Source organism: Homo sapiens, chromosome 2 (assembly GCF_000001405.40).
Source record: "Homo sapiens chromosome 2, GRCh38.p14 Primary Assembly".
NCBI lineage: Eukaryota > Metazoa > Chordata > Mammalia > Primates > Hominidae > Homo > Homo sapiens.
Window position 1 is genome coordinate 201,004,481 of NC_000002.12, and position 14,781 is coordinate 201,019,261.

Sequence of the window (14,781 nt, forward strand, 5' to 3'; positions counted from 1 at the left end):
CTGCAGATGGCTATGGGGCAGATTCCTCTGGGGGAAGGTCCTGCACATAGCTGGCAAGCCAAACAGATGCCAGCAGTCTCTGGAGGCCACAAATGGGTCCTGACAGGAACAGACACTGCATTAGGTTTTGCTTATCAGATTGTGGATCAAATGCTCAGAGTACTGTAAAAGGACCAGAAGATATTGTACCCATATGGACTGCTTAGCTACATTTTTGGAGCAAGAAACACACTTTAAAGACCAAAAGTCCAATGGCCGGGTGCAGTGGCTCACGCCTGTAATCCCTCGGCACTTTGGGAGGCCGAGGCAGGTGGATCACGAGGTCAGGAGATCGAGACCATCCTGGCTAACACAGTGAAACCCCGTCTCTACTAAAAGTACAAAAAATTAGCCAGGCATGGTGGCGGGCGCCTGTAGTCCCAGCTACTTGGGAGCCTGAGGCAGGAGAATGGTGTGAACCCAGGAGGCGGAGTTTGCACTGAGCCGAGATCGTGCCACTGCACTCCAGCCTGGGCAACAGTGCAAGACTCCATCTCAAAAAAAAAAAAAAAAAAAAGACCAAAAGTCCAACAGTGGGCAAAGAGACATCCTCAGGGTAATGGAACAAGCAATTGCGTGGAATGAAAGCAATTGAAAAATGAAAATAATTGGAACAATCAAATGAGATATTTTTGGTCTAAAAGGCTGGGGGTGAGATACAGGTATGAAGGGTTGGCTTATAGGCCTTCATGACTGTGTACTTAACCTGAGCGGGGCCAAGGGAGGGCCAATTATCACTGGAGAGATTCCTCTGTTTTTCTGGGGGGGTTTGGGATTAGGCAGTGGAGAGATGATGCTGGAATAGTCATCATTACTATTCTGTTATTCTCATAGTGACAGAAGGTGGTGGTATTACTACACTTTTTTCCCGTCTTTTCCACATCACCTCAACATTTTTTTTTCCCACCTAAGGCAGTGGTTCCAGTACCAGTGCTGCAACTGTGGGTGCAAGGAGCAGAGATGATTCCTAAGCAAAAAAACCGGAACTACACCTTCAAATCTTTATGTCAGAATTCCTAAAGGCCTGATGGGCTAGGCTATGCCTTCATTCCATCTGGCAAAATTAGGATTGACAGAGAATGTATATTTATCGCCTAGTTGTGATAGCACATTAGTTCTTTATATAAATATACCCTACATCCTTGGGAGTGAATTGATAGGGAGGCACTTGCTAGCCAGTTTTGCTGCCAGAAATAGAGACCAACACGATGGTCAAACCTAACCTCTCTCCAAGGTAGAAAAGTCGGAGTACAAATGAAGAGAGAGAGAAATAGTAGCTGAGATTTTTTATTTTTTATTTTGTTATTTTTATTTATTTATTTATTTTTTCTGAGACGGAGTTTCACTCTGTCGCCAAGGCTGGAGTGCAATGGCACGATCTTGGCTCACTGCAACCTCCGCCTCCCCGGGTTCAAGCGATTCTCCTGTCTCAGCCTCCTGAGTAGCTGGGATTACAGGCATGCGCCACCACGCCTGGCTAACTTTTGTGTTTTCAGTAGAGACAGAGTTTCACCATGTTGGCCAGGCTAGTCTCGAACTCCTGACCTTGTGATCCGCCTGCCTCAGCCTCCCAAAGTGCTGAGATTACAGGCGTGAGCTATCGCGCCTGGCTTTTTTTTTTTTTTTGAGACGGAGTCTTGCTCTGTCACCCAGGCTGGAGTGCACTGGCGTGATCTCAGCTCACTGCAACCTCTGCCTCCTTGGTTCAGGTGATTGTCCCTCCCTCAGCCTCTCAAGTAGCTGGGATTACAGGCACCCACCACCACGCCTGGTTAATTTTTTTTTTTTTTTTGTATTTTTTAGCAGAGATAGGGTTTTGCCACATTGGCCAGGCTGGTTTTGAACTCCTGACCTCAGGTGATCCACCTGCATCGGCCTCCCAAAGTGCTGGGATTACAGGCATGAGCCGCACCTGGCGAGATTTTTTTAAATGAATAAATGAGTTTTGCAATGTGGGAAATACATTAGCACCTTGGAAGACACTCAGAGCAAGAGATGATACTATTAGCTCAATTATACTAGATGCCTGAAAGAGTAAAAGTCAAGTGTTTGTGAGGCCACTCCTGCTTTTAGAACTTAATAAGGCTAAACAGAAGTCTGTAAACTTGAGTGACTTCTCTCTGGGAGATATTTTGGTCATATATGATGATGAACTGGGATAATTGTTAATGACTGACTGGCACTCTATGAATGTGCCAGTATCTTTGGCTCTTATTTTTCAGGTTTCATTTACTGCCATCCTGTGACATGGTATAATATTGGCATTGTTGGTAAGGTTATAATATTGGTCATATGTATTGGAAATTGAATTGAAGCCTCCTTAGAATGAATACTAATGGAACATGACTTGCCTGAGGAGGAACTAAATTTAGCTAATCATTAACTAATTTCTATGACAAATAGTGCTGCACAAGTTTACCACAAGGTAGATAAAGAAGAGGGGTGAGGTAATCAAATTTGTGCAAAAATATGAAAATATATGCAAACATTAAAGGATGAATTAGTTATTTCTTTAAATCTATCTGTAACCTACACTGGCTCCTCCAAATGTTAGGCATATTCATAATGATAGTATCTGTCATATAAATGCTATACTAAATGTAGATGCCCAGATAAACATGATCATTTTTGAGCCTTGGCCAAAGACCAGGGGACAGCCTGTATAATAAATACAGGTGTTTCTCGACCTATGATGGAATTGCATACCAATAAACCCATTGTAAATCGAAAATATCATAAGTCAAAAAAGCATTTAATACATCTACCCTACTGAACATCATAGCATAGTCCAGCCTACCTTAAATGTGCTCAGAACACTTACATTAGCCCTACAGCTGGGCAAAAATCATCTAACACAAAGCCTATTTTATATTTATCATAAAATTGAGTATCTCATGTAATTTACTGAATACTGTACTGAAAGTAAAAATGAGAAGGTTTACATAGGTACTTGAAGTACAGTTTTTATTGAATGCATATTGCTTTGATACCATTGTAAAGTTGAAAAACCTTAAGTTGAACCATAATAATTCATGGGCCATCTATAAACTGGCCTTGCCCAAAGAGACATCTGGCCTTTGCTCCTAGGAAGTTAATCTGATAAAGAGTCTTTGTTTAGGGCCGAGACTGGTAACACCAGAACTTCAGGCCGGACTGACCACATCTGACTTTCTTAGGTAGGAGTTGGCCATGCCAGAAAGAACTGCCGTGTGATTTAAGGTGGTAGCTCTGGGTCACACTGCATCAGTCCACATGGAGGCTGAGATCAACCAAGTAGGCAATCAACCTAATCAATCATGCCTACATAATGATGCCTCAATAAAAAAAACTCTGGAAACCAGAGCTTAAATGAGCCTCTCCCATTACCAATACTTTGTGTTTACTGTCATGCATTGATGCCAGGAGGGTAATGTATCCTGACTTCAGGGGAAAGGACAACAGATGCTTTGTGTTTGAAACCCTTCATATTCTACTATATGTGTCTCTTTTGGCTGATTTTAATCTCTATTCTTTCCCTGTAATAAACCATAACTGTGAGTATAATGGCTTTCAGTGAATCCTGTGAGTCCTTCTAGCAAATTATCAAACAAGAGTTTGGTTTTGGGAACTCCCAAAACTTTCAATTAGTCAGAAGTGAGGGCAATTTTGCAACCTGTCCCTCAAACTGTAAAATTTCAGGTACGAATCCCATTCTGCAACCAAGAAAGCAAGGTGTACAGAGTAGATAAACTGTCTGAGGGAAAAATTTCTAAATTGCAGTACTAGAATATGAATCCTGGTTTGACTGACTGCACATCCACTTTTTACACTGCTTTATACAAGATGACCATAACATAATACCAAACATTAGACAATGGGTATTTCACAACTATGATGTATTTACCTTTTGGAGTCTTCTCATACCAAACTTGAACTGAAGTAATTATAGTTAACTACTAAGTGTAAGTTAATGATTGTTAGCTGAGTGCAGTGGTGCATGCCTGTAATCCCAGCTACTCAGGAATCTAAGGTGGGAGGATCACGTTGAGGCCAGGAGATCAAGACCAGCCTAGGCAACATAACTAGACTCTGTCTCTAAATAAATAAATAAATGGGCCAGGTGCAGTGGCTCATGCCTATAATCTCAGCACTTTGTGAGGCTGAGGCAGGAGAAGTGCTTGAGGCCAGGAGTTCGAGACCAGCCTGGACAACATAGCAAGACCTTTTCTCTACAAAAAATAAAAAAAAAATTGGCCAGGCATGGTGGTGTACACCTGTAGTCCTAGCTACTTGGAAAGCTGAGGTGGGAAGATCACTTAAGCCTGGGAGGTCAAGGCTGCAGTGAGCCATGTTTGTGGCTACAAACTACATTCCAGCCTGGGTGACAGAGTGAGACTCTGTCATTCATTCATTCATATATATATTCATGCATACATACATACAAGTTGTTACTATATACAGTTTTGACCATTACCGGTTCTGTGCAGTGAATGTTTCCCTCTGAGGATGAAGATCACTATAAACAACTCTGATGAGATCATGCTGACACAATGCCCCTTCTGTCAAAGCCATGGATCCAATTGTTGAAGGCTACAAAAATAAGGTACAGTATGAGACAATGTCTCTACCATGAAGTAAAAATCTGTATCATGTAATAATATTTAATTTTCTTTTCCATAAAAGGCAGTTTTGGATCATTTATTCTTCTCATTCTTCACGGAAAAGGTTCAGAATCTTTCAACTGTCAATTATATAAATTCTATAGCTTCTTTTGGAAATTGCCTGTAAAATATAAAACTAAAAACATTTTTTAAAAGTCATGTAATAAATCTATATTTAAGAGAGTATGAAAAGTTGCTGAAAAAACTAAAGGTTAAAAATACATCCATTTTAATGTCTATATTCCAGAATGAGTACAACTGCTTATAATTATACAAACAATATTAAAGACTATAATCAAATATCTCTCTTTTTTTTTTGAGACAGAGTCTCACTCTGTCTCCCAGGTTGGAGTGCAGTGGCACAATCTTTGCTCACTGAAACCTCCGCCTTTTGGGTTTGAGTGATTCCTGTGCCTCAGACACCTGAGTAGCTGGCATTACAGGTACCCACTACCACATCCAGCTAATTTTTGTATTTTTAGTAGAGACGCGGTTTCGCCATGTTGGCCAGGCTGGTCTCAAACTTCTGACCTCAAGTGATCCACCCACCTCGGCCTCCCAAAGTGCTGGGATTACAAGCATGAGCCACCATAACTGGCCCAAATGTCTCTTTAATACTAACATTATTGAGTTCATGTTTCTAAAGTTAGAAGAACCATCCAGGCCAGGCGCGGTGGCTCACGCCTGTAATCCCAGCACTTCGGGAGGCCAAGGTGGGCAGATCAAGAGGTCAGGATATCAAGACCATCCTGGCTAACACAGTGAAACCCCATCTGCACTAAAAATACAAAAAAATTAGCCGGGCGTGGTGGCATGCACCTGTAGTCCCAGCTACTCGGAAGGCTGAGACAGGAGAATCGCTTGAACCCGGGAGGTGGAGGTGGCAGTGAGCTGAGATCGCGCCACTGCACTCCATCCTGGGTGACAGAGCGAGACTCTGTCTCAAAAAAAAAAAAAAAAGAAAAGAAGAAGAAGAACCATCCATTCTTTAATACTTTACTACTCTCCATTTTATTTCATGATACACACAACTTAATTAAAATCTATTATTCAGAAATATACTGTGCTAAAATGATTCCTGGCTAAATGGGAGACATTCTATTTTAAACACAAAACAAAGTCCCACGGAATTAATTAAGCAAATTAATAGTGCAAAGAGCTATGAGATGGTCAGGATACTGTGTGTTGACAGGAAAATAGAATACAATTTTTAGACTACTAGTAAAGTTTCTTTAAATGTTATCCTCACGACTTAGTGTAGTGGCAACAAAGGCCACTGCAGACCACAAGTTTGATTCATAAGTTTCTTATTGGATTTTACTTAAAGACAGAAAGTAGAAGAAGTTCAGCTCAACAGGTATCATTTACCTACATGATTATCAGTGTTCTCAAATTCTTCAGCCAAATAAATATAAGCAAAAAAGTATAATGTACTGAACACCTAGAATACAGCAATTAGATTCCTTTAAACTGAAATACAACAATTAGAGTGTCAACATTCTTTTAAGTAGTTATTTTCCTAGAATAATAAAGAATAACAAAAACAAATCAATCTAAGGTGATTTCTAAGTAGTATGGAAGACTTTAAAAATTAAAGAATATTTTTAAGCTTATTATTTAAAAAATTAAAAATAAAAATATTTTAAAAATTAAAGAATTTTTTAAAAATTCATAAAAGACTAATGAGAGTAAAAAATGATGGTAGAGTCAGGCGTGGTGGCTCATACCTGTAATCCCAGCACTTTGGGAGGCCTAGGCGGGCGGATCACAAGGTCAGGTGTTCAAGATCAGCCTGGCCAACATGGTGAAACCCCATCTCTACTAAAAATAAAAAAATTAGCCAGGCATGGTGGCACGTGTCTATAGTCCCAGCTACTCAGGAGGCCGAGGCAGGAGAATCGCTTGAACCCAGGAGGCAGAGGTTGCAGTGAGCCAAGATCGCACCACTGCACTCCAGCCTGAGGGACAGAGCGAGACTCCATCTCAAAAAACAAACAAACAAACAAACAAAAAAGATACTGATAGAAGAATAAAAAAACAAAAGAACTAAAGAAAATTTTCATTATTTTCTACCTCTCTCGTCACAGCTCAGTCTTCTAATAACAAACATCCACTTTTAAGAAGCAAATCAGTAAAGATATTTTAGGAATATTTATCTCTGATAAGAAACTGACTTTTTGATTTGTTACTCAATATAATTTAAAATAATTCCACCTTTCCAATGTTACTTACTTCATGGTATATTGAAGGCTTGGATAAGGAGGGGATAGTGAAAGACAGAACTTTATTGTTCCCATCTTTATCAGCGATTTCCTATAGTCAAAAAATATACAAAGATAATGAAATAATCACAGATCTACACGAAATAATAATTACTTTCTTAATTTACAGAATATATGATTGGCAGTAGGAAGATTTTTCAGAAACAGTAATGTATAAAAACATTACCACCCTAGTTTATCTTTTCTAACTTATTAACAAATTTGTACACTTTGGTAGTACAGTTATAATCCACAGAATCCACAGAGAGATGGACATTGAGTACAATATTATACTAAATCAAATACAATATGACAGCAAAGACATGAGGCAGGCAAACGAATCAATTTGATGTTAAATTTACATACAGGATGGGAAGATTACAAGTGATTAGCTCCTTTAGTAAAAACATGGCTATGCTAAACAGATTAAAATTAAAAGTCTTATCCAAGAGATCCACACTTACGAAAACAAGAAAAACACATTAATTTAATACAGAATGAATTTTTTCCAGCTTTACTGAGGTATAATTGACAAATGAACATTATATATTTATGGCATAAAACACAATGTTTTAATATATGTATATACTGTGAAATGATTAAAACAATCAAGCTAATTAACACATGCAACACCTCATAGTTATCCCTTTTTTTTTAAATGGTGAGAACCTTTATGAATGAATCTTGAATAAAAGAAACTCTTACAATCATTCGCAATAAACGAATGACCTGAAATAAGCCACATTAATAATTATTGGGCCAGGTGTGGTGGCTGAGGCCTGTAATCCCATCACTTTGGGAGGCCAAGGCAGTCGGATCGCTTCAGCTCAGAAGTTTGAGACCAGCCTAGGCAACATGGCAAAACCCCATCTCTACAAAAAAATACAAAAATTAGCTGGGCATGGTATCGCAGGCCTGTAGTCCCAGCTACTCAGGAGGCTGAGGTGGGAGGATCCCTTGAGCCTTGGAGGTGGAAGTTGCAGTGAGCTGAGATCACCCACTGCACTCCAGCATGGGTGACAGAGTGACACCCTGTCTCAAAAACAAACAAACAAACAAAATGATTATTAGTCTAAGTCATTAAAAATAAATTCCTATTAGGTAATTTTTACTAAGCTACAAGACAGTTCTTGTGATTTTTTAGAAAACACTTTATTTTCATAAAAAAGACAATGGACAATGGTATCCTTCATTTCTCCATCTCTGGCACCTCCAATATTCCTGTTATAAATAAATATGTGCAGTCAGGCGTGGTGGCTCACGCCTGTAATCCTAGCACTTTGGGAGGCTGAGGCGGGTAGATCACCTGAGGTCAGGAGTTTGAGACCAGCCTGGCCAACAAGATGAAACCCTGTCTCTACTAAAAATACAAAAATTAGCCAGGCATGGTGGCAGACGCCTATAATCCCAGCTACTCAGGAGGCTGAGGCAGGAGAATTGCTCGAACCCAGGAGGCAGAGGTTGCAGTGAGCCGAGATCACACTATCGCACTCTAGCCTGGGGGACAAGAGCGAGACTTCGTTTCAAAAAATACACACACACACACACACACACACACACACACGCCTACAGATGACGACAATCAGAGGAGTGAAAACTGCAGCAATCCTTTTCCCCACTGTCTTATTTTTGTCTATTTCCCTTACAACTCATATTAGCATACATCACTGGCATAAAATCCATAGAAAGAAGACTGCCCTTACTAGACCTATATGGTAAGTAGTCAGAGACTGAGTAGCTGCATGGCCTAAAAAGAAGAAACATCAGGCCGGGCACAGTGGCTCACGCCTGTAATCCCAGCACTTTGGGAGGCTGAGGCAGGCAGTATCACTTGAGGTCAGGAGTTCGAGACTAGCATGGCCAACAAAGCAAAACCCAATCTCTACTAAAAATACAGAAATTAGCTGGGCATGGTGGCACATGCCTGTAATCCCAGCTACTTGGGAGGCTAAGGCAGGAGAATCACTTGAACCCCGGAAGTAAACGTTGCAGAGAGCTAAGACTGCCACTGCACTTCAGCCTAGGCGACAGCTGAGACTGTGCCACTGCACTCCATTTCAAAAAAAAAAAAAAAAAAGAAAGAACAGCAGCAATAATCATCATCACCAAACACAAACCCCAAAGAACTTCCGTATAGGGCTCATTTCTGAGTTTATTATGTCAGAGAAGAATACCAATTACATGTGAATAATGACCATACCTCTAATTATGGTAGGAAAATAGGTCTGAAAAGTCCCTTGAGGGTATAACTTCTTTGTAGTTAAACCAGGTCCCACCACATCTGGGCCACTGTGCTTCAGAGAAAGCCTATGCTAAGATGAATGGGCCTGATTTAAGTTAAGCAAAAATGTTTTAATTTTATTCTTAAATTTCAAATTAAGCCAAGTACTTTTGATTTATCTTTGCAGGTATTTGTGAAAATGATATGCTAAATTTTGTTTAAGAGAAATATACAACTCCCCCTGGGGCTATTTGAAACAACGAAGTGCTGGGGAGGGAAAGAAGGAAAAACAGAAAAGAATATATGGATGACTCCCACTGTGATTAAGAAAAACTGAGAACCACAGAAAAGGAAGAACACAGACATCGAGGGAATCAAAAGGAGTCCAAAGCCTAGGGTTACATTTCTGACATATAACTGAGCATTTTTCTATAGTATACTAATTTTGCACTGTCAAAAGATAACTGAACCACAGCACCAATAAGTTATGTCAACAACTTGTCAAACATGACACTTTGCAAAATGTTTGTTTCATGTGTCCCATTATTGAATTTTATTACACTAAACACATTAATAAAAATGATAGCTTAATGCTAAGCATAATCTAAAACACCAAATTCCATTATTAAATCAACAAACATTTACTAAGTATCTGCTGGTAAGCACTATAGGAAACACAGTGATATATAACAAATTTCCTACTTGAAAAGAAAAAACAATCAGGCAAGTTAGGAAAGTAGAGAATTTTATTCCTAGATCAATTTTCATTTTTTTAAACCCACTTTTAATTTTGATGGTAATAATAATGGACATTTATAAACACCTTATGCAACATAATGAATTCTTCAAGTTGTTTTTAGTCCTACTAACAATGTTTTCTTTTTTATGGATGAGGCAACTGAAGTCAAGATATTAAGTAACTTGCCCAAATTTAAAACACCTAATAAGTGGCAGGGCATGGTTCTGAACTGAATGCAAGTCATTCTAAAGCCCTTGCTCCTTCCTTCAGACTTCTAGAGATGGAAATGTTTGCTAATGATTTTTTAAAGTAACTAAGAGAGGAGTGAGCACTGGTACAGAAGAATATTTATCATGAGATTCAATTTTCTTGTACCTTATTACCTTTCAGTTATACAACTAAACTTTATTATGTGGAATTTTGTTTATAATGTATACTAAATACACAAAATATAAGACTTCAAGGTGAAGAAATTTCAATACCAATGGTCCTTAACTGGACATCATGAGAAAAAAATAGAATAATAATGTTTATGGTACTTAATTCCTTAGAAGAAAACAGTTTCATAAACAATGTACTATCAAATATATAATATATTATCAAATAACTATTAACAAATTTACAACTTTTATGACAAATAACACTGTGGTTTCTCAATTGCTACCCCACTCAACGACTCCAAGATACATTCATAAAATTCACGATTCTTTATTGATGAGTTCAGGTAACTGCCCAATTTTGTAGAGGCACATGAGAATGGAAATATGATGCTGTGCTATTTTGCTTCCTTGCACTGCGCAAGAAAAGGTGCCTTGTGCTGCCCAAGTCTTCAGAAAGGTGCAACACAGATGATCCCATGTTCCTAAACTCTCTCACCTTTTTACCTTGCTTCCTACAGTCTTTGTAACCTTTCTAGCATACCCTCCCCATCTTGCAGAAGTAATCAAGTCTCAATCTTCAAGTTCCATGTAAAGCCCCTAGTATCTCAGAAGTGTTTATGGTTTTTCTCCCCCTAGTTTCCACTGTGTTCTTACTAAGATTTTAAAAATCCTAACATGCTATAATACTATATGGACTTTTTCCCTGTAACTGATGTCCTCCCCTCAGAGAAACAGAAATTTCATGTCCATTTGCCTCACTCTTCTCAATTATGTATATAGCCTTTAACATATAAGAAGTGGTGATTAAATTCAATTTATAATTCAAAAGTCTCTCTGCACACCACCATAAGATTCATTTTCCTAATATATAATACAATTCTTCTGTTCAAAACCCTCTAATTGCTTTAAAGAGAACCTAAACCTAAACTCTTCACTTTAAAAAGATTCTCCAAAACTGACACAAAATTGTCTTTTCCAGCTTGCATATATACTCTGTGCTTCAAACAGAACTACTTTCTATTTCCAGGACGTGACTTGACTCTCCTGCCTCTCTGCTTATGTTCAATTGATAGCTGCTTCCAGAAACCTCACCGGCTCCTCATCTCAACAGGCCAAAACTATACCTCTTCATAAGACCCAGCTTAGATGGCATCACCTCAATAAAGCCTGCCATGATAACTTCAGCTAACATCTGAGTTTCTCTCTAAAATCCTCTTATTATACAAACCACATTATTAGTTATCTATAAACATGTCTTTTCGAACACAGCAGGAGTTTCCTAAAAGCAGGTGCCACACATGTAATTCTCCATATTTTCAGTGTCCAACTCAATGGCATACATCCAAAAACATTCATAAATATTGGTCAAATAAAACAATTTGAAGATATAAATAAAATATTAATAATACAATCAATTATAGTAGTTTTACATACTTTATAAAATACATTATCAAAAAAATGCATTATCAATATCTACCCCTGTACTCAACCTAATTAGTTCAAACAAGTTACACTTATAGACATTTGAATTGTTTTTTCTTTTTTTGAGACAGGGTCTTGCTCTCTTGCCCAGGCTTGAGCACAGTGGCACAATCATGGCTCACTGCATCCTCGATGTCCTCGGCTCCAGAGATCTTCCCATCTCAGTATCCTCAGTAGCTGGGACTACAGGCATATGCCACCATGCCCAGCTAATTTTTTATAGAGACGAGGTTTGGCCAAGCTGCCCAGGCTGGTCTCAAACTCCTGGGCTCAAGTGATCCTCCCACCTTGGCCTCCTAAAGTGCTGGAATTACAGGCATGAGTCACTACATCCGGCCTCAATTTATTTATTATTTTTAATTTTTTTTTTTTTTTGAGACGGAGTCTCACTCTTTCACCCAGGCTGGAGTGCAGTGGTACAATCTTGGCTCACTGCAACCTCTAACTCCTCAGTTCCAGCAATTCTCCTGCCTCAGCCTCCCAGGTAGCTGGGATTACAGGAACACACCACCATGCTCAGCTAATTTCTGTATTTTTAGTAGAGACGGAGTCTCACCATGTTGGCCAGGCTGGTCTCGAACTCCTGACCTCAAGTGATATGCCTGCCTTGGCCTCCCAAAAATGCTGGGATTACAGGCATGAGCCACTGCGCCTGGCCAATTTATTTTTCTCTAAACATTCCTTAAGTATTATTTCAGAGGACCTTAAAAAATACTTAAAATTTCCCAAACTGTCATCTTCAACTTACCAAATTGTAAATTCCTAACAGAAGTGCTTCAATGCAACCATTACTCTGTCTGTCTCGGCTAACTGTAAGCCGTAAATAAACCCACATCAATTCTGGCAAGAACTGCAGTGTGAACCTCTTAAGTCGAACCTCTGAGCTACGATAGAGCTCAAACAGCTGATGGCAGACAGGCTCCAGGAGCTAAAAGGAAAATAAAGTGCACTGGTCATTTCAATTCTTTTGGTTGTAACTGTTGTTTTTTTTTTTTTAAGGCACCTATATCTGTATAATATTTTTAAAAGTCTTAATATTAATTTCTCCACATTTTAATTTAACCAAAACCTTTGTGTAAAGAGACCACATATTAAACTGACCAATCCACTAACTATAAGAAGTATTTTGTGCCCATACATCAATGTACCTTTCAGTATACTGTACTACTAAATTTACTAGATTATTAGTCCTTTAGCCAATGTACTACATTTATATTTGAGAAGAATTTTCCTTTCTATTCTTATCAACTCTATCTTCCATTTCAAAAACTTTCCATTGAAATAAAATAATTTTGCATAATATTGCTGGGAATAAACTTAAAATCTCAACTGAGACTATGATTTAAGCAAATTATATACCACTCTTACTGAAAAATGTGTGTTGATACAGAATTTTCTAAGAGTCATGCTGTTGGGCAAAGCAACTCTGTTTTTCAACCACTGCTAATCAGTTTCTGACAGTCAAAAATTCTGTACATATTTTGGAATCAGAAGAATCCTATGTAAATCATTTGTTACTTAAATCTGTGAAAAACATGTTTCTTTGGAGGAAAATGTATGCATTTGTAAGTGTTCTGTGGAATCAGTTTTCATTGTATTGATGTCATTGTCTCTAAGTGCTCAGTGTCTTCACTGCAATATGAAATTTATTAAAGCATCCACATTCCATTTTAAAAAAACTTATATACCACTCAGTAGAAGAAGGGATTTTGCAATACATATTTGTGCATCCAAAATTCTAGCTAATATTTAAAATACATACAAGTGAGGCAAACTATTTTAAAACTGACTTAAATTTTTCTTATTGTATTTATGTGAAAGATTTTATAAAGGAGAAAAGTATCCAGAAATAGCTTTTTCAGTGTTCAATTGGCTAATTTTTCATACGATATCACACAATATGACTTATGAGGAACTTCATGACCTAGAAAACTGAAGAAAATGAGCAGTTAAAATAAACTTTCCCACTTTTCCCTAAATATGTACTGCCAATTTAGAATGGGTTTGCTGGAGTAACCGTAGGCTGCAGAAAACTGGCTATGACTTTAAAATTCATATAAAATATTGACAAGAAACTATAAAGTAATTTTTAAAGTTTAATACTAACTCTTTAAAAAAAAAGAATAATAGTTCAGTAATTTCATGTACTTTCCTCTATTCTAAATGATTAAAATAATGCATATACATTTGGAAATCTGTTTGAATATAGTTACATACATCTGTAATAATCTAACACTCTACAATAAAAAGTCACTGTCATGATTATAAAAAGTTAACAAATCCATGTCAATTATACAGTTAACATATTTAGAAGAGTTAGGCTTAGCTCTGGAAGAATTCTAAAGCTTAAAAAATTTACATACATATACATCCTAGTCTAGTAAATACTAAGCCCTTTATGTGAAATCACTATCAGAACAGTTTTTAAAATCTTAAAAAATTTTCCAGAGGCTGGGTGTGGAGGTACACATCCAGCTATTCACAAGGTTGAAGAGGGTGGATAGCTTGAGCCCAGGAGTTTGAGGCTGCATTGAACCATGACAGCATCACTGCACTCCAGCCTGGGTAACAGAGCAAGACTGACACAAAAGAAAAATATTCCAACTCTTCCCTTACATTGAAGTCTAGACCAGTCAGACAATTTGTCAAAGGTTGGTGAAGTTAATGGTGAAATAAGACACTAAATTCAGGTCTTCTGACATCAAGTTGATGTTTCCACTCTACCGCACTTCTTATATTAGAATGGAGGTATAGATTGTTTAATCACAAAACAGTGTATTCTATGTAGTGCCAATAATGAACAAGTAATAAACTTTTGGAAACTGTCAGTTGCTGGCATCTTTCTTAAATATTGAGAGCAATATTCAGTTCTTTAGAAGTAAAAAACTGTTGCTCTCACAAATTTTGTTTACTAAAAATTTATACTCATGTTTCAAACTCAATCTCCTCTTTAGTAAAAAACTCTCCAAAGATTGCCTTCTCTAAACTTTATGGGCCATGGTACAATTATGATGAATTT

The 14,781-nt window shown here is 37.9% G+C and overlaps 1 protein-coding gene and 1 long non-coding RNA gene across 22 annotated transcripts in view; one reads left to right on the forward strand and one right to left on the reverse strand.

Moving 5' to 3' along the window:
• Nucleotides 1–14,590, forward strand: part of LOC105373835 (uncharacterized) — a 55,639-nt gene extending 41,049 nt beyond the window's left edge. The window contains exons 2-3 of one of the 2 annotated variants that reach the window (NR_187976.1): nucleotides 4,506–4,621; nucleotides 9,349–14,590. This is a non-coding gene — a long non-coding RNA (uncharacterized LOC105373835). The remainder of the gene's footprint in view (nucleotides 1–4,505; nucleotides 4,622–9,348) is intronic. The other variant, NR_187975.1, reaches the window with a different exon arrangement.
• The window catches only part of HYCC2 (hyccin PI4KA lipid kinase complex subunit 2), a 97,954-nt gene that overhangs the window by 30,763 nt on the left and 52,410 nt on the right, over nucleotides 1–14,781 (reverse strand). For all 20 annotated transcript variants that reach the window (NM_001321618.1, NM_001321624.1, NM_173822.5 and 17 more), the window contains 3 exons: nucleotides 12,511–12,690; nucleotides 6,912–6,992; nucleotides 4,493–4,608 (listed from right to left, as the gene is read on the reverse strand). In NM_001321618.1, coding sequence (NP_001308547.1) covers nucleotides 4,493–4,608; nucleotides 6,912–6,992; nucleotides 12,511–12,690 — 377 coding nt within the window. The remainder of the gene's footprint in view (nucleotides 1–4,492; nucleotides 4,609–6,911; nucleotides 6,993–12,510; nucleotides 12,691–14,781) is intronic.